The sequence below is a fragment of the Homo sapiens genome, chromosome 21 (assembly GCF_000001405.40).
Source record: "Homo sapiens chromosome 21, GRCh38.p14 Primary Assembly".
In the NCBI taxonomy this organism is placed as follows: domain Eukaryota; kingdom Metazoa; phylum Chordata; class Mammalia; order Primates; family Hominidae; genus Homo; species Homo sapiens.
This window is the reverse complement of record NC_000021.9, coordinates 26,833,356-26,852,340: the sequence shown is the minus strand read 5'-3', so window position 1 is coordinate 26,852,340 and position 18,985 is coordinate 26,833,356. Positions and strand designations below refer to the sequence as shown.

At 43.5% G+C, this 18,985-nt stretch overlaps 1 protein-coding gene across 1 annotated transcript, besides 3 other annotated features; it reads left to right on the top strand.

The window, feature by feature from the left end:
• Positions 5,548-6,147: an enhancer, noted in NCBI's record as "H3K27ac hESC enhancer chr21:28218513-28219112 (GRCh37/hg19 assembly coordinates)". NCBI's record gives its function as "activates a minimal SCP1, AML or CMV promoter by ChIP-STARR-seq in naive and primed H9 embryonic stem cells {active_cell/tissue: H9 hESC(naive and primed)}" and the evidence as "EXISTENCE:reporter gene assay evidence [ECO:0000049][PMID:30033119]".
• Positions 6,148-6,748: an enhancer, noted in NCBI's record as "H3K27ac hESC enhancer chr21:28217912-28218512 (GRCh37/hg19 assembly coordinates)". NCBI's record gives its function as "activates a minimal SCP1, AML or CMV promoter by ChIP-STARR-seq in primed H9 embryonic stem cells {active_cell/tissue: H9 hESC(primed)}" and the evidence as "EXISTENCE:reporter gene assay evidence [ECO:0000049][PMID:30033119]".
• Positions 6,932-16,586, top strand: ADAMTS1 (ADAM metallopeptidase with thrombospondin type 1 motif 1). Its single transcript, NM_006988.5, has 9 exons — positions 6,932-8,116; positions 9,656-10,002; positions 10,351-10,483; positions 11,176-11,343; positions 11,779-12,065; positions 12,280-12,466; positions 12,579-12,754; positions 13,727-13,902; positions 14,063-16,586. The coding sequence occupies exons 1-9, from the start codon at positions 7,387-7,389 to the stop codon at positions 14,760-14,762; spliced, it is 2,904 nt and encodes a 967-aa protein (NP_008919.3). The 5' UTR covers positions 6,932-7,386; the 3' UTR covers positions 14,763-16,586.
• Positions 9,186-10,385: an enhancer, noted in NCBI's record as "MED14-independent group 3 enhancer chr21:28214275-28215474 (GRCh37/hg19 assembly coordinates)". NCBI's record gives its function as "activates an origin of replication core promoter dependent on BRD2, BRD4, P300/CBP and CDK7 cofactors, and independent of MED14, by STARR-seq in HCT116 cells {active_cell/tissue: HCT116}" and the evidence as "EXISTENCE:reporter gene assay evidence [ECO:0000049][PMID:35650434]".
• Positions 16,587-18,985: the final 2,399 nt, after the last annotated feature.

Sequence of the window (18,985 nt, the reverse complement as noted above, 5' to 3'; positions counted from 1 at the left end):
CTAATACATATGGTCAGTGTTTCTTAACAAAAGTTCCCGAAGAAATTTTAGACTTTAAGAGGCTAGGAATGAGGGGGAAATGGGGCAGAAGATGAGCAGGACAAGTATCCTTCTGAGGCACCTGCCTCTGCTGAGAACTTTACAGTCTGTAGGCCAAAAAAGGGTGTTCTCTTCTAGCAAGGGGGTGACATCTGCCTCTGCAGGGTCTAGGAGAATCTGGGGCTCATCCATCCAAATGTCTGCATTTTATGTATCAGAATCCCATAGTTTTTCTATTAGGACCCTAACTTTAATATAAAACAACTATAAGATTATACATTTTTAGATTTTCAGCATCGTCTGCTCTCTGATTGCAGGAGATAAAAGTGACTTTTATGGCATGTCTTCAAATTAAGTTAGAAAACGATGTAATCTCTGTATATAATCTCTGTATTTCCAAAATAACCTTCAAAACAGGCACTGGTAAACTTTTTTGAAGGGGCCAGATAACAAATATTTTGGACTGGTGGACATTGCTCTCTTTTGCAATTATTCAACTCTGCTTTGTATTGTGAAAGCAACCATGAAAAATACATAAGCAAATGATTGTGACTTTGTTCCAGTAAAACTTTATTTACAAGAACAGATGGTCAGCCTGAAGGTCATAGCTTGCCAGCCCCTGCTCTGAAGCAACTATCAAAAACCCATCCAATGACATGTTCCTTTCAATTGTTATTTTCCTCATACTGTCTAAGTGCCGCTGCTGCTGCATAAACCTGCTTCTCACCCCATACTACCACCTCATCCCACACAGAGACTCTTTGTCATTGCACTGACACTGCATGCCGGGGGCGGTCCCATTCCATTCACCACCAGCAAACGGGTTCTACTGCCCTCTGATCAGTGAGCAGTCCCATCTAGAAGATCTCCTGATGCTCTTTGTTTTCAACTCAGTTTAGCCCAGAAAGCACAACCTGAGAAAAGGGCTTGTGTGCATGCAGTCCCTGTAGAGGTGGGGAGGCAAGGGCAAGTAAGTTTAGGAAACAGGAGGGGGTAACTAGGAAGGAAGAGACAGAGGAGGAAGCAAATACAATGGTGCATTATCCTTCAAGTCAGGATTGTTGTCATCTCCATTTTACATATGAGGAGGCTGAGGCTCAGGGATGATCCATGGCTTCCCTGAAGCCACAAAGTAAGGATGCAGCAGTCAGAATGCCAGAATTCAAATGTGGATTACGTGGCTCTCCACCACTAGCTCCCAGGGTATTAAGTGCAGGGAACAGGAAGACCCCCAGCCTCTATGCTTAGACATTGTGCCACTTTAGAATAGTGTCCAACTCTAATCCTTTCAACAATCTTGTCCAATTATGTATTTAGAGAGATTGTCTAGGCCTTTCCAATCAACATTTCATGAATATACAAGCCTACCATCAACCAATTACGAGTGTGTCCAGTTCTCAGGGTGACCTGAGAGCCACATGGAACAAGAAAGCTTTCCAGCCAGTGTTTCCAGCAGCAAGCATCCTAACCCAGGCCTCGGAATCTGAAGATACAGTGCTCAAATATCAGTGCTTCTGAGCTACTAACCATTGTAATTGCCCAAGTAGATGGCCAATGAATTGCAATAATTCATAATTCAGTTTTTGGTTATTAATAAGATTTATTGTATCTTACACAAAAGAGCATTATAAAATGATAAATATTGTAGGATAGAGGCTGAGATATAACCAAATATTGCTCTTGATCTTTAGCAAAAATCACTTTCAAAGGACAATTGATTTTCAGCCTCTGATTAAATCCCTGCTAGTGGAAGTGTAGGGAGGTGACCAGCTCCTATCTCAATCAGCCAATCAATAATTATAAGCCGGGTGGGGAAAAAAAGCAGTAGTGAAATAGTTTAAAATATCTTATTCCATGGTCTCAAGTGCCGCCTGCTGACTAAAACTGTCCACTTCCAATTCCAGCACTTATTAAACTAGAGATAATATGTTAATATTAATTTGCTTTAATTAATAAAATATTCCTAGAATATGATTTTAAATTCACATGACATTCGGAAGTCACTTATATTTGCAGTATTCAAGAATTACATGAAGTATGTGCTCATTAAGAGCGATTTTAAATTTTATCTTTTGTCACCACCTGGTGGTAGAACATTTTCTCACTTTTCTTTTTTCATTTTAAGCCTTACGTTGTTGCTAAGGAAAATTTCTAAACCAGGGAAACCAGTTAACCAGTATTGATTGTCAAGTATTAATGTATACTAAACATACTGTATGTACTTAATATCTATTGAATAAATGAATGAGTTTTTAATCTGTTTTAGTGGATTGCAAATGTACTTAATCTTTTCATTTGAATGACAAGAAGTTCTCAAATGTAATGAATAAAAGCGGTCCACAGTATTATTTTGTCAGAGGCAGTTTTCTTTCTTTAAAGTTTAATTGGATTTTTGTTTATGGTAATACAAACACATAATTAAAAAGTAGTTGATTTAAAAACGCATTTTATTATGCCCTCAAGAATAAATTCATTTAACATTGTAATATTTTTAAAATATTTTCCATAATACTAGGAGGTAGGAGAATATTTAATTAGAATTTATTAAACATGATTGAGAAGATGTGAAACTTTTGCAAATTCTTAACTTGAACTATTAAGAATAAAAAAGGAAAGGAAAGAAAAAAAAAAAAAAAACACCAAGTCGCACATCATTTGTTGTAGACCATCGCCACCTTGTGTTTGGAGAAAGATGTACTAAAGTCTGAGAATCTTTTAAGGTGGAAATTTTTTATTGCTGGAAAATTCCTATTTATAATTAAAACAAAACTTTACTGGAAACAACATCATTCCAAAGTCTGACAATATAATTACCTCCTACACAATTAGATAGGTTAAAATGTCAAAACAGTTGATTAAAAGTTATGAGTCAGAGTCATTTCTAAGCCCCCAGTTTGACTCTCGCTATGACATCTTGGGAAAACTACTTAACCCTTTTGAGTCTCATTTCTGCATCAGTTACACAAAGGGAGTCGATCTGGCAGATCATACTCCTCTGAGTTCTGTGAGGGCATGATGTGGAGGGAATATCAATTTTGAGTCTAAATGCAAGCTACAATAATTTTTCTGTCTCCAATATTTGCAATACTTCTGGGTATATAACCTGTTTAAACTAGAAGTTTTCTAACTACTTTCTCATTTGTGATCAATTAAAATATCCATTTGTCCAATATTACTTTAGACCATATGTTCCCAAAAGTAGGACTAATACCAAACAGCTTCCCTATTTCTAATTAGTCAATCTTATGGTACTAAAATGTGAATAAAAAGCATTTCCCGGTTATGAAATATGCACATTAGTTGTTTCTCTAGACAATGTTTACATTAAAACAATTCTAATAGCTCATGTATATTACCAGATTTCCTCATTTCATGGCTACTTGTTGAATACTTACTTTGGTATAGACGTCGTGAAAATTGTGAATAGAATATTGTGTCTATAACATATGAATCTGTGAAACAAATAAGAACACATAAGGTGTAAATAGAAATTGACACCTTGATGCTTATCTCTCACTTTAAAATGCAGACAACTTGTTCTTTTTTTCAGACAGTCCCTCTGTTCATAGAGGACAATAATGTGTTTAATAGGTCAAACTGTTAATTGTTCCAATAATTTTATGTCAAATGTTTTGAGTTTTGTTCTGTTATCTCTAGAAATAAAAATTAGCTTACATATGTAAATTAGAACATGTTGAGATTAATGTTTATATAAGCCCATATGTATTCTATAAAAATAAAACCCAAAATATGGGGAGTAGGGATTAGGATAGCATGTGTTATTTTGGGTGCCCATTCAAATCAAGGAGCAAAAATTGGATTATGAAACTCACTACAAGAACCCCATATTACATGTCACTTTTACTAGTGCCTTGTACAAATTTACTCCTGTGGTCTTGTTTCTACATTCAAATGTTTTTCCAATTCACATTTTGCTTATAAATATACATATATGTCCTATGTATATATTTGCATATTACCACAAATGCCTGATGAGTGCTAATCTTTAAATAAAAGAGAAAAAGTAAGTGGATTAAATGTTCTTCTGAGCATAGATGGAGTTTTTCAGCTTAGTAGTTGGCAACTCCAACATCCATGTCTCTGTTGAAGCGATTAAAAAAGAATCATTTCCCAGAACTACAGGTGCACAACAGATTGGAGTCATTATGCAAAAGAACAGAAATCTGGATAGAAACCCAGAGAATAAAAAAGCCATGTTCCCGGCCATCCTTTTGCCTTTAACTCACTGTTTTTTCAACCCTACTTGTATCTGCAACATGAAATATGAAACAATTATAATGGATTTGTAGTAACCCATTCAAGATCAGAAATGTATGCTTTTAAACAAACCTCCAATAAGAATACCCTGCAGGTAGAAACACACTAAAGGTCAAACTTACGTTAACATATTTTTAAAAGCTAAAGTTTATGTAGAGAAGTTGATAGACTGAAATACATTACATATGTCTTTAAAGATACAGATTTTCTGCTGTTTTTGTCCCTTTTTGCCCCAATTTAAGGGAATCACATCTACCTTCACTCATCTTCATTCAGCCTCTGGGCCACCTCTCCTTGAGATGGAGATTATGAGTGTCCAAAATCTCCATCTCAAATCTCCATCTCAAAGCCACTCTGAGGCTGTAACTGTTGTCACCATATATTATCTTCTGAGCCCTTTTCTAAGCAAGAGGTTGAAAATGTACGGATGGCTTTGCCTTCAAGCTTTTGTGATCCCGCGGTCAATATCTTGAAAGTCTAACATGACTTTCCTCATATGTTCTCTCAAGTATCTTGCCTTTTTTCTAGCTAGAAAGAACCAGTAAAATGAAATGAAATCATAGAAAATGGACCGTCAAAAAATTACTGTAATAGAAGATAACAATGTTAAAAAAAAAAGTCTGAAAACCAAACTGGGAAGTAGGAATGATCAGATGTTTGGGAAAAGACGCTTGGGAAACAGAGAAACAGGAAGGAATAATCCTCGTAGTTCGAAGTCGAAGAGAAGGAGGTAGGCTGGACAATGCTTGACAATGCAGAAAGGAATCACACACTCAGGTGTGCGGATGTCAATGTTGAGTTTGAAGGAGAAATGCAACGGCGGGAGGGGGGGAGAGACAGCGAGGGCTGCAAAGGAGAGACTCAGTGAAAAGAGGTAGGCAGAAACACTATCAGAATGTTAATCGAGCGCTGTCAAAATATATCTAAGGCCTTGGTTGATTATTCAACGTTCAACGATGAGGGTGATTTTAGGAAACCAAAATTAAATCTACGAAACCACCCACTCCTAAATGTGTAGGGACTAGAGGTCGTTACTAAGCCCTTCAGAAGTAAGCTGAGTTGCTTCTCTCTGCCATTCTTGCTCATTTGATTTTTCCTGATGAGTGGAAAGCAATGTTTTTGTTTTTGTTTTTCAAGTAAGCAATCTCGCTAGGAAAAAAGAAGTTGGAAAGCATCCGGAAAAGAAAGCTTGTAAGAGGGACGTGTGGGAGAACTAGAAGGGACGCTTCTGGCTGGGGCCAACTGAAGTGGGGAAGATCTGGGGAGGAGCGAGGAAAGGACCCAGATCTACTTGGAGCCAACCAAGAGACCGGACGGGAGTGGGGCGGAAAGGCGGAGACCAGTTCGAGCACTAACGCGGGGGCGCGCGAGTGTGAGGGTTGCGGGTCCGCCCGGGGCTAGGGCGGTCGCTCTCGCCATTGTCCCCGCGGCTTTCCGCCTGTGAAACACGTCCTTCCTCTGGGTCCTTGAGCCCCTCCCACTTTTTGGAGAGAAGAGCCACTCAGTTTTTTTTCCTAAGGACCTGTTGGTGGACCTCTCCTCGCTTTCGTAACGCGGATATAGCCTTTTCCCTTCCTGGTAGGAAGAGGAAGGAGGGGTCCGGGAAGGAAGCCGATTTCCTTCTTTCCCCCTCTGCACGCTTGCTAGCCCCAGCGATCGCTGCTGGCCCCCGGGTAGGAAAGTGGGGTTCCTGGCCGTTTCTGCGACGCTGGCCTAGGGCTTGCAGCTGCTGTTGAGTGAAAGCACGCAGACTGGCGGGAGCCGATCATTTCTCGAATGAAGAAGAAAAAGCGCAATTCCCTCCTTATGCTCTAGGGAATTGAGCCGCGTCCCAGATCACCCATTCCAGAAATGTGAAACCGGGCCCTCACAAAGTCGTCTCTGGTGAAGAGGTGGCGTGCGGGGTGGGGGTTGGTGGAGGGTGAAGGCATAAGCAAACATATTTTAAAATCCAGATCGTAGGAAGTGTCACCTGGCCCCTCACCCAGGCATGCTTTCTGGGGGAAGCGCAGGGCCAAGCTTTCCCTAGAAAAGCTGGGGCGAAGAGAGAGCAGGCGGCGGCTAAGGAGCTCCTGGCAGGCTGGGAAGGTGGAGAAGTGGGGTGAGGTATTTTTCTAGAAAGTGTAGCCCTAGCTCATCTCCTAGATTGGGGAAGAGGGAACTGAGGGAGGAGGGAAGGAGACCCAGGGCAGCTCCAGGATAGGGAAATGTTGAAGAAGGGACTGCGTTCTCCAACCGAACCCTCCCTCCTGGGAACCGCAGCCCAGCGCGGTAACTGAGTTACCGCAACCGGGCGGTGGGGAGGAAGGGTGGTCCAGGAAACCGGCGAGGGAGAAAAGCGGTGGAAGGGAGAGTCTTCTCCCTGGAGCGGCCCCAGCAGTACAAAGTGCTGGTCACAGCGCCCCTTCCGCCCCTAGATTGACGAGCAGTGGCGTGGAGCCAGCGCGGAGGCTGCCCCCTCCCCCTCCCGAGCCCGCAGCGCGGAGCGCGGTTTAGCACCAACGGAGCCGGGGGCGGCGTCTTTGGGATGGAAAAGGGCCAAAGGGGAGGAGTGGGGTGGGGGTGGGGGTTTCACTGGTCCACTATAAAAGGACCGCTCGGCTGCCCGGTTCTTGCACTCGCTGGAAAGCGGCTCCGAGCCAGGGGCTATTGCAAAGCCAGGGTGCGCTACCGGACGGAGAGGGGAGAGCCCTGAGCAGAGTGAGCAACATCGCAGCCAAGGCGGAGGCCGAAGAGGGGCGCCAGGCACCAATCTCCGCGTTGCCTCAGCCCCGGAGGCGCCCCAGAGCGCTTCTTGTCCCAGCAGAGCCACTCTGCCTGCGCCTGCCTCTCAGTGTCTCCAACTTTGCGCTGGAAGAAAAACTTCCCGCGCGCCGGCAGAACTGCAGCGCCTCCTTTTAGTGACTCCGGGAGCTTCGGCTGTAGCCGGCTCTGCGCGCCCTTCCAACGAATAATAGAAATTGTTAATTTTAACAATCCAGAGCAGGCCAACGAGGCTTTGCTCTCCCGACCCGAACTAAAGGTCCCTCGCTCCGTGCGCTGCTACGAGCGGTGTCTCCTGGGGCTCCAATGCAGCGAGCTGTGCCCGAGGGGTTCGGAAGGCGCAAGCTGGGCAGCGACATGGGGAACGCGGAGCGGGCTCCGGGGTCTCGGAGCTTTGGGCCAGTACCCACGCTGCTGCTGCTCGCCGCGGCGCTACTGGCCGTGTCGGACGCACTCGGGCGCCCCTCCGAGGAGGACGAGGAGCTAGTGGTGCCGGAGCTGGAGCGCGCCCCGGGACACGGGACCACGCGCCTCCGCCTGCACGCCTTTGACCAGCAGCTGGATCTGGAGCTGCGGCCCGACAGCAGCTTTTTGGCGCCCGGCTTCACGCTCCAGAACGTGGGGCGCAAATCCGGGTCCGAGACGCCGCTTCCGGAAACCGACCTGGCGCACTGCTTCTACTCCGGCACCGTGAATGGCGATCCCAGCTCGGCTGCCGCCCTCAGCCTCTGCGAGGGCGTGCGCGGCGCCTTCTACCTGCTGGGGGAGGCGTATTTCATCCAGCCGCTGCCCGCCGCCAGCGAGCGCCTCGCCACCGCCGCCCCAGGGGAGAAGCCGCCGGCACCACTACAGTTCCACCTCCTGCGGCGGAATCGGCAGGGCGACGTCGGCGGCACGTGCGGGGTCGTGGACGACGAGCCCCGGCCGACTGGGAAAGCGGAGACCGAAGACGAGGACGAAGGGACTGAGGGCGAGGACGAAGGGGCTCAGTGGTCGCCGCAGGACCCGGCACTGCAAGGCGTAGGACAGCCCACAGGTAGAAGAATTGCTCTCGTTTGTCTGTCCATTCATCCTCCTCTCCTCACTTTATCTATCCCACGCGACTTCAGGGTAGACTCCTGCTGGCAGGCAGGATCATAAGTCCGCGGACAGAACGGAGGCCTGGAGTGGAGGAATGTGGTTTGAGGTTTGGATTGGTGAACTCAGCTAGAAAACATACTTGCATTTGCCCGAATAATGAATAACCAAGAAAAAAACTGACAAACGATTTTCTGCAAACTAAAGCAAAGCATTTAGGCCGGGGAGGGAGAGTTTGTAACCTGACTCCTTCCACCTTTAGCGAGTTGGAGCTTGTGCGAGTTCTTTCCACTCTGTGTATTTCTTTTTAATGATTTTGTGTGCGCCTTTTGTGCGGGTTGCAACGTTGCGCTGAGTTTTGTAACCGCTGCCTGTGCGTGCATCCTGCGCTCACGGGAGGGCGGATGTGGAGAGGGCAGAGGAGCAATGGTGACCTGGGAAGGTACCCTGAGCGGCTACGCTAGGATCTCTGTTCTGCAGACTTCTGTCCCCTTTCCCCCTTATAAGGCTGACCCAGGCGGGCTGAAGGCGGTGGGGCCCCTTCGCAGAACCTGCTTGGGAGGTCTTTCCCGGGTTTGCCCCGCCTCCCAGTTTGCACTCCCTCTCGCGGCCATAATTCTGCTCTCAAGCACTGTTGAAAGTCACTGCCGGTCCTTCCTGCTACGGCCTTCTCTCTGTGCAGTGCTTATTCTCCAGTTCTTTTTGTTTCATCACTTTGGTGCCTTTTTCCTTCTTTAACTCTCTCGCGTGTCATTTTTTAAAGAATTCTCCCCTTTTCCCCTGCTCCTCTGCTCCTGGGAGCAAAGTGGTCGCAGCCCAGTTTAGGACTTTCTGCAGGGGTTGGGTCTCAGTCCGGAGTGGAAGGCTCTGTTCCAAATAATCAATCATGCCTGGAAGCTGGAACTTATTTCGCTGGGGCAGTGGGAGTGGGGCCAGAGGCTGCTGGGCAGAGTGGGTGGTCCTTGTGCCCGGAATTGGCAAGAGCGGAGCACCCCAGGGACCCCTGGAATGAGACAGCAGAGCTGTGCAGTCTGAGATTCCTTAAGGCCCGGCCCCTTGGCAGCAGCCCAGGCCCTACCCGAGGCCTTCCACGTGGAGCCTGATGATCTCATTCAGGATTTGAGCCCTCGCCTGTGAAAGAGTGACTCAGGGCCTCTGCCTGCCGCTCTTGCTCCAAGATTTTACTACAATTGGGTAGGATTATGTGCGAAATTGCCTTGTTCAGACTGTGGGATTTCAAAGAGAACAGAAGAAATCCTGCTCACACACAGAAAGATCCTGACCATGCAAAGGAGCGCGTGGTCTTTTTATTTAAAGGAGAGGAGAGAACTTTAAAAATAACACTTGGAGTGAAGATATGCAAATATTTTTGTTATTGTTGTTCTGGGTATATTTTTGCTTTGTTTGCTTTGACTGGTTAGGCTTTCCTAATATATGCTAGGAAGGTAACTATTCTTGGACAGCCTGACCATAAGCAAACTTTTTTTTTTCTTTACAGGAACTGGAAGCATAAGAAAGAAGCGATTTGTGTCCAGTCACCGCTATGTGGAAACCATGCTTGTGGCAGACCAGTCGATGGCAGAATTCCACGGCAGTGGTCTAAAGCATTACCTTCTCACGTTGTTTTCGGTGGCAGCCAGATTGTACAAACACCCCAGCATTCGTAATTCAGTTAGCCTGGTGGTGGTGAAGATCTTGGTCATCCACGATGAACAGAAGGGGCCGGAAGTGACCTCCAATGCTGCCCTCACTCTGCGGAACTTTTGCAACTGGCAGAAGCAGCACAACCCACCCAGTGACCGGGATGCAGAGCACTATGACACAGCAATTCTTTTCACCAGACAGGTAAGAGGAAGATGGTACCAGCTGTGAGACTGTCCTCTTAGGAGTCTACGTTGTACCAAAAAGATATATACAAGGCATTTCACCAGTGTTTTTGCAGTTAACCTTTTTTAATTGGCTAGCATGGTTTATCTTACTCATTTCTACTGTAATTTAAATATCTCAAGTTTCACAGTTCTATTTTAAAAGCATTAGAAAAAAGCTTGATTAAAGTCACATGAAGTCTTCTTATGTCAACAATAATGAATGTAGATGCTCCAAAGCATATGTGAAGGCACACCCTGCCAAAAAAGTTAGATCCCAAGGGTCATGCTCCCCTTATTAATAAGTATTTACCTTTGCTTTTTGTAGGACTTGTGTGGGTCCCAGACATGTGATACTCTTGGGATGGCTGATGTTGGAACTGTGTGTGATCCGAGCAGAAGCTGCTCCGTCATAGAAGATGATGGTTTACAAGCTGCCTTCACCACAGCCCATGAATTAGGTAAGTCTGCTTCAAAGTAGAAGTTAAGCTCAATTCAGAAATGTAAACTGGTAAAACAATATAAGAAGGAGAGTCTGTAGGTTATATTGCTATTTTAGGTCCTAGTGCATCTTAGAAACTATAGAAAATATTTTGTCACTATTTCAAACATGGTCATTTTTATTAAAGTAAAAAATAAGATAGTAGTAGCTCTGGACATTTGGAAATGTGTATGTTTGTTTACACCCTGTGAAAAGTAGACATGGTCTGCAAAAGAGCCAATCTCCTAAATATATTTCTTTCTCTAGAAATGTTATTTTGGGACAAATGAATGAATCCCTGTTGGGAAAAAAGAACCTGCTGCATATCATCCATATTTTATTTTATTATTATTTTTTTTGAGATGGAGTCTCACTCTGTCTCCCAGGCTGGAGTGGAGTGGCACAATCTCGGCTCACTGCAACTTCTGCCTCCTGGGTTCAAGCGATTCTGCTGCCTCAGCATGCCCAGTAGCTGGGATTACAGGTGCATGCCACCACACCCGGCTAATTTTTGTATTTTTAGTAGAGACGGGGTTTCACTATGTTGGCCATGCTGGTCTTGAACTCCTGACCTCAAGTGATCCACCCGCCTCGGCTTCTGGAATTACAGGTGTGAGCCACCGCACCCAGCCATGATCCATACTTTAATGTGGGTTCTGGATTGCTTCCTAGGCCACGTGTTTAACATGCCACATGATGATGCAAAGCAGTGTGCCAGCCTTAATGGTGTGAACCAGGATTCCCACATGATGGCGTCAATGCTTTCCAACCTGGACCACAGCCAGCCTTGGTCTCCTTGCAGTGCCTACATGATTACATCATTTCTGGATAATGGTCATGGTGAGATATTCCAGCTACTCTCTCTAGATGGCATCCAACCTTTCACGCATAAAGTTTAGTTAAATGAACTCTTTCCTTTTTGTTCTTTTTATTTTCCCCACTTCAAAATTACTTTTCCTCTGTCAAGATCCTAACTGTTGAGATCTTAATTCCAAATAAAAAATAGTGCTTCCGGTTGAGTAGCTCCCAAAGCCCATTCATTCACATTGTTCGCAGATCAATAACTTCCTGTCATTGTTAATATAGAAATACCCCATTGAGGATAAGATCTTAATAGTAATCTAAATCTCTTCAGCATTTCCCTCCCCCAGCTTTACAGTTTTCAGATCACTTTGCTGTCTATTTTCTCATATGATAAATATTTTCTGAAATGGGATCTACCCCTTCATGCCCTCACTAACTCTGTATTGATATTGGTTGGCATTTCCTTTGCAGGGGAATGTTTGATGGACAAGCCTCAGAATCCCATACAGCTCCCAGGCGATCTCCCTGGCACCTCGTACGATGCCAACCGGCAGTGCCAGTTTACATTTGGGGAGGACTCCAAACACTGCCCCGATGCAGCCAGCACATGTAGCACCTTGTGGTGTACCGGCACCTCTGGTGGGGTGCTGGTGTGTCAAACCAAACACTTCCCGTGGGCGGATGGCACCAGCTGTGGAGAAGGGAAATGGTGTATCAACGGCAAGTGTGTGAACAAAACCGACAGAAAGCATTTTGATGTGAGTTTTTCTACTGAAACACATTCAGAATTGAAAAGAACAAAGTGATGGTAAAAGATATGATACCAAGTTAAACATCCCCATCCGTGTCCTCTAGCAGGAATGCGAGATAGCTTATTTTTAGAACTGATTCTTTGTCCCATGTGGCTTTCTTTGATACCCTAAAAGTTCTCTTTAGATAATTCTAATGCTGATGATTTATGTCTCCATTTAGACGCCTTTTCATGGAAGCTGGGGAATGTGGGGGCCTTGGGGAGACTGTTCGAGAACGTGCGGTGGAGGAGTCCAGTACACGATGAGGGAATGTGACAACCCAGTCCCAAAGAATGGAGGGAAGTACTGTGAAGGCAAACGAGTGCGCTACAGATCCTGTAACCTTGAGGACTGTCCAGACAATAATGGTGAGGAGCAACGGACTCTGGTTTTAAGAAACTGGATTAAAAAAAGATGTACCCACAAACAGGTGGCTCAAGATTGGAAACTGATAATGTTATCATATTATTCTCTTTCCAGGAAAAACCTTTAGAGAGGAACAATGTGAAGCACACAACGAGTTTTCAAAAGCTTCCTTTGGGAGTGGGCCTGCGGTGGAATGGATTCCCAAGTACGCTGGCGTCTCACCAAAGGACAGGTGCAAGCTCATCTGCCAAGCCAAAGGCATTGGCTACTTCTTCGTTTTGCAGCCCAAGGTAGTTCGTTTTTACCTTATTTTTACCTAAAAATCAAGGCCTGGGCTTGCTACCTTTTCAAACAATTTTTGTTATACTTTCTTTGCTTTCCATATTAACATATCTTCAATTTCAAATTTGAACTCCTTTTCTTTTACATTAATTGGCAACTGCCTGCTTTGAGTTTAGTGTTTTCAGTTATGAATGAAGCTTAAATCTAACACTTCACATGCTTGCAATTGCTCGCTATTACTCTTTTATATGCAAAGAAAAGCTTTTTGGACAGTCAAGCGCTCCTCTGTGCGACTAGGCTTCACATACAGCTCATAGTTAGATACATTTTATATTCACACAGTAACCAGTAGTTTTGGAAAATAGTCTATGCATGGTCCAAAATACTTGTTACTGGGTAACTAGCAGTAGCAGGTGCAAACAGAATAATAGAAGTGGTAGTCTGAGTATTGATTATTTTTATGTTTGAAAACACATATTGAACTAGGAAAAGCATCATTTCTTTTGCTGTTTTGCTAAGGGAATACATCTGGATCTGAGACAGAAAATGGAATTTAATGTGATTGAGATGATCGTGTGTCATTAGCACCATAGGCTATGAAAATATTCCCAAGTTGCAGATTCAATATTCAGCAAGTGATTTCTGAAGCACTTACTCTTGCCAGATACTAATTATTCTAGGCTCTGAAGATACAGCAGTAAACAAAGTGACAAACAGCTCTACTTTCATTGACCTTAGCTGGAGGAGACATAGGTCAATAGATAAATAATTTTTAAAAATATCTAATTTCTTCAGATGTCTATACGTAGTACTGAAAAATATGCCAAAGTGAAGGGTAAATGCATGAAATGCATAATGTGTAGAGGGTACTGTGTTTAATTAGCATGGTCAGGAAAGTAGAGAGAAAATGTTTACACTTATCATTGCAGCATCTCCTTCCTTTGCTTGTATGTAACACTAGACATGTGTCCTTTTTTCAGGTTGTAGATGGTACTCCATGTAGCCCAGATTCCACCTCTGTCTGTGTGCAAGGACAGTGTGTAAAAGCTGGTTGTGATCGCATCATAGACTCCAAAAAGAAGTTTGATAAATGTGGTGTTTGCGGGGGAAATGGATCTACTTGTAAAAAAATATCAGGATCAGTTACTAGTGCAAAGTAAGTTTTAAAACACCTATTTGCAGACCTTATAATTTAAATGGGCCTTTCAACAGGTCTGGGAAAAAAATATGTCTCATAAAAGATTAATGTGTTTTTAAGCTAAATAATCTAATTAGCCAATGAATCAGAGATTTATGCCTGTTTTTGTCACCTGCAGACCTGGATATCATGATATCATCACAATTCCAACTGGAGCCACCAACATCGAAGTGAAACAGCGGAACCAGAGGGGATCCAGGAACAATGGCAGCTTTCTTGCCATCAAAGCTGCTGATGGCACATATATTCTTAATGGTGACTACACTTTGTCCACCTTAGAGCAAGACATTATGTACAAAGGTGTTGTCTTGAGGTACAGCGGCTCCTCTGCGGCATTGGAAAGAATTCGCAGCTTTAGCCCTCTCAAAGAGCCCTTGACCATCCAGGTTCTTACTGTGGGCAATGCCCTTCGACCTAAAATTAAATACACCTACTTCGTAAAGAAGAAGAAGGAATCTTTCAATGCTATCCCCACTTTTTCAGCATGGGTCATTGAAGAGTGGGGCGAATGTTCTAAGTCATGTGAATTGGGTTGGCAGAGAAGACTGGTAGAATGCCGAGACATTAATGGACAGCCTGCTTCCGAGTGTGCAAAGGAAGTGAAGCCAGCCAGCACCAGACCTTGTGCAGACCATCCCTGCCCCCAGTGGCAGCTGGGGGAGTGGTCATCATGTTCTAAGACCTGTGGGAAGGGTTACAAAAAAAGAAGCTTGAAGTGTCTGTCCCATGATGGAGGGGTGTTATCTCATGAGAGCTGTGATCCTTTAAAGAAACCTAAACATTTCATAGACTTTTGCACAATGGCAGAATGCAGTTAAGTGGTTTAAGTGGTGTTAGCTTTGAGGGCAAGGCAAAGTGAGGAAGGGCTGGTGCAGGGAAAGCAAGAAGGCTGGAGGGATCCAGCGTATCTTGCCAGTAACCAGTGAGGTGTATCAGTAAGGTGGGATTATGGGGGTAGATAGAAAAGGAGTTGAATCATCAGAGTAAACTGCCAGTTGCAAATTTGATAGGATAGTTAGTGAGGATTATTAACCTCTGAGCAGTGATATAGCATAATAAAGCCCCGGGCATTATTATTATTATTTCTTTTGTTACATCTATTACAAGTTTAGAAAAAACAAAGCAATTGTCAAAAAAAGTTAGAACTATTACAACCCCTGTTTCCTGGTACTTATCAAATACTTAGTATCATGGGGGTTGGGAAATGAAAAGTAGGAGAAAAGTGAGATTTTACTAAGACCTGTTTTACTTTACCTCACTAACAATGGGGGGAGAAAGGAGTACAAATAGGATCTTTGACCAGCACTGTTTATGGCTGCTATGGTTTCAGAGAATGTTTATACATTATTTCTACCGAGAATTAAAACTTCAGATTGTTCAACATGAGAGAAAGGCTCAGCAACGTGAAATAACGCAAATGGCTTCCTCTTTCCTTTTTTGGACCATCTCAGTCTTTATTTGTGTAATTCATTTTGAGGAAAAAACAACTCCATGTATTTATTCAAGTGCATTAAAGTCTACAATGGAAAAAAAGCAGTGAAGCATTAGATGCTGGTAAAAGCTAGAGGAGACACAATGAGCTTAGTACCTCCAACTTCCTTTCTTTCCTACCATGTAACCCTGCTTTGGGAATATGGATGTAAAGAAGTAACTTGTGTCTCATGAAAATCAGTACAATCACACAAGGAGGATGAAACGCCGGAACAAAAATGAGGTGTGTAGAACAGGGTCCCACAGGTTTGGGGACATTGAGATCACTTGTCTTGTGGTGGGGAGGCTGCTGAGGGGTAGCAGGTCCATCTCCAGCAGCTGGTCCAACAGTCGTATCCTGGTGAATGTCTGTTCAGCTCTTCTGTGAGAATATGATTTTTTCCATATGTATATAGTAAAATATGTTACTATAAATTACATGTACTTTATAAGTATTGGTTTGGGTGTTCCTTCCAAGAAGGACTATAGTTAGTAATAAATGCCTATAATAACATATTTATTTTTATACATTTATTTCTAATGAAAAAAACTTTTAAATTATATCGCTTTTGTGGAAGTGCATATAAAATAGAGTATTTATACAATATATGTTACTAGAAATAAAAGAACACTTTTGGAATGTGTGTGTCTGTTTTTTGAAGTGGGAATTCATTCCTAGGAAGGAAACCTGAGGCACAAATATTGAATCTGAAGACCGAATTATTTTCTTAAATTATTTGGCAATAAGATTTTGTTCTAGAGGAAGGTGAAGCAAGACGGCTGAATAGAAGATTTTTTTCTAATGAGATGTATTTCTTATATCCTTGGTATACATGATTGCTAAAAAGAAAGAAATTTATGATGTCATTTGTTACTAATGTATCTAATAATATACATCAGTGGTTGGCAAACTTCTTTTGTAAAAAGCCAAATGGTAAATATTTGCAACTTTGTCAATCCTGTCAATAACTATCCTGTCAATACCATCTATGTCACAACTGCTCAACTGTGCTGTTGTAGCACAAAACTAGCCATAAAGAATGAGTAAGTGAATGGACATGGCTGTGTTCTAAAAAAACTACTTGCAAAAACAAATAATGGGTCAGATTTGTTCTGCAGATTCAGTTTGCCAACCCTGGTATATACCATAAATTAAATGGAAAGAGCTTTCAGTTCTGGATGCTTTTTGAATTTGTATCTCTTCCTCAATTATATCCCATAAGTAAAAATACGTGAAAGTATTTAGCTATTGAGTAGAAAACAATGACTCATAAATTACATGTAGTAACGTTAGACATACATGGTGAGTTAAACCCTCTAAATGCTTCACTTGCTCATCAGGAATACCTGAGGGGTTTTGGAGAAAACTTGGAAAGCCCAGGCCTTTCTGCATAGTCTTTTTGTAAATCACTGTCTTTTAAATACTAAGTGGCATATCAATAACTAAAAGTTCAGATTCCTTCCAAAGTAACTACACTTCTCCCAGGAAATAGTATTTACTAGAAGACTCAGATTATGTGGTTAACCACAGACATTTTGAACTCTACGTTTTTCTTCTTTTCCTTGAAAGGAGGAGTTTGTGCCCTCTTCTGTTGCAGTTTGATAAAGACACACCCAAGACTGGGAAAAAAAAGAGGTTTAGTGGACTCACAGTTCCACATGGCTAGGGAGGCCTCACAGTCATGGCGGAAGGCAAGATGGAGCAAGTCATGTCTTGCGTGGATGCGGCTGGCAAAGAGAGAGAGCCTGTGCAGGGGAACTCCTCTTTATAAAGCCATCAGATCTGATGAGACTTATCCACTATCACAACAACAGCACAGAAAAGACCCGCCCCCATGATGCATTTACCTCCCACTGCATCCCACAACACACAGGAATTATGGGAACTACAATTCAAGATGAGATTTGGTGGGGACACAGCCAAACCATATCACAGGTATTACAATATAGCATGCTAGTTTTTATGTATAGGTGATAATTTCTAACTTACTCTCAGTTATTCAAAGTGTTCTTCCCCTGAGCAATTGAACATATCATTCTCAGCAGTCAGGTGTACAGGTGCAGAGAATCAAATTAATTTCTGGTTATTTTTTTTTCCTACCTACTAGACTAAAGGACTGAAAGTTAAAGTCATCTTCTCACATTGTGGGAACTAGTCTTGCTCCTCCAGAACTCATTTAAACGCAGAATTTAATCATTCAATTCAGTGGCCTAACTTGCCACTTGCAACAACAACCTCTCACAATAAATTATTTGTCTACATTAGTGCAGTACAAATCCCCACAGTAAGTGACATGGAGGATATACATGAGAAATGCCCTGACCCTCATTAACTATACATGCCATTTGAGAAAATGAGATATATAAATCTAAAATGATAGCTCATAAGATTAAAAAGTCACTTTTAGATCTTGCCTCATTCACCAGAATTCTTTTCTTTTTAATAGCTTAGATTGATTTGATGTAAGTAATGACACTAAACTTCAGGACACTAAGAGATCAAATCAGCCAAAAAATTTCCTATCATCCTCTCAGATCAAGGCAATGTCAGACAACTTTCTGGTGTTGCCACATTGTTTTTCAGCCCTCTGCTGGTGAAATTTTTTTTTCATCAGTAGGCTGAGTAGTTTAAGATACTCTGCTGGCAGAGATTAGCTCAAAACACACATCCTGGTTTTAGAAGATTGATTAACCGCTTGCTTGAAAGAAGGAGAGATTTTGTGCTCTCTCCTGTTACAGGTATAAATGATGAGCTGTGCCTCTGCTGAAAGAAACTTTCCACAGTGGAAAGATCAGGGACTCAAGGCCTGCAGTCTGGTTTCCTTTGTCCCATACGATGCTCCTTTAATGTGATGCACTCCCACACCCCTAAGAGTAGCGGTCCCTGAGGGCCAGACTACCGTGAATACTGCTGCTCCTCTGGGTCTCATCCCCAGTGAGGTTTCCATACTCCATGCTGGTGCTGGTGAATGTTTGCAAGGGATCCAGTGATGTGATCTGTCTGGTCCCCCAGCAGTGGATATCAGTACCAGCTCAGTTGTGGGTGGGAAGGGAGTGACGTAGACCCTGTGAGATTTCCGTGGTTATAAATAGCCTTAGTGTGTTGGCCTTCTCAAATACGGCTGTGGTGGTCATGTACTGGGCACATGGACAGACTCAAGATCTACTGGCTAGCCAGGGTGATGTAGGCAATGGTGATAGTTGAGGTTGTGCAAGTTTTCTCCTTCCTGGGCACTGTGTTATTGTACCTGCAGATGTTGTAATGGGCTGTGCCACTTGGCCTCCAGCCAGGAGGTGGCACTTGCAAAAGAATGCCAACTGTGTTGGTAGTTTTGGGATTCGTGCTTGCCTTATGTTACCATGGGTAGGGGAGTCGGGGGGAAGGGAGTGGCGTACTCTGGTATTTCAGGCAATGTGCAGGGCCATGGAGCTCCCAGGAGTCTCTGTCCATTGTATCACACTACCAGGGCAGATGAAGGGGCAAAGCCAGGTGGGGACTGGGTCAGGCAAGTTTGCTGTTTGGCTCCCCACTTGTGAGTACAAGCAGCAGCCCCAGTGGTGATCAGAGGGC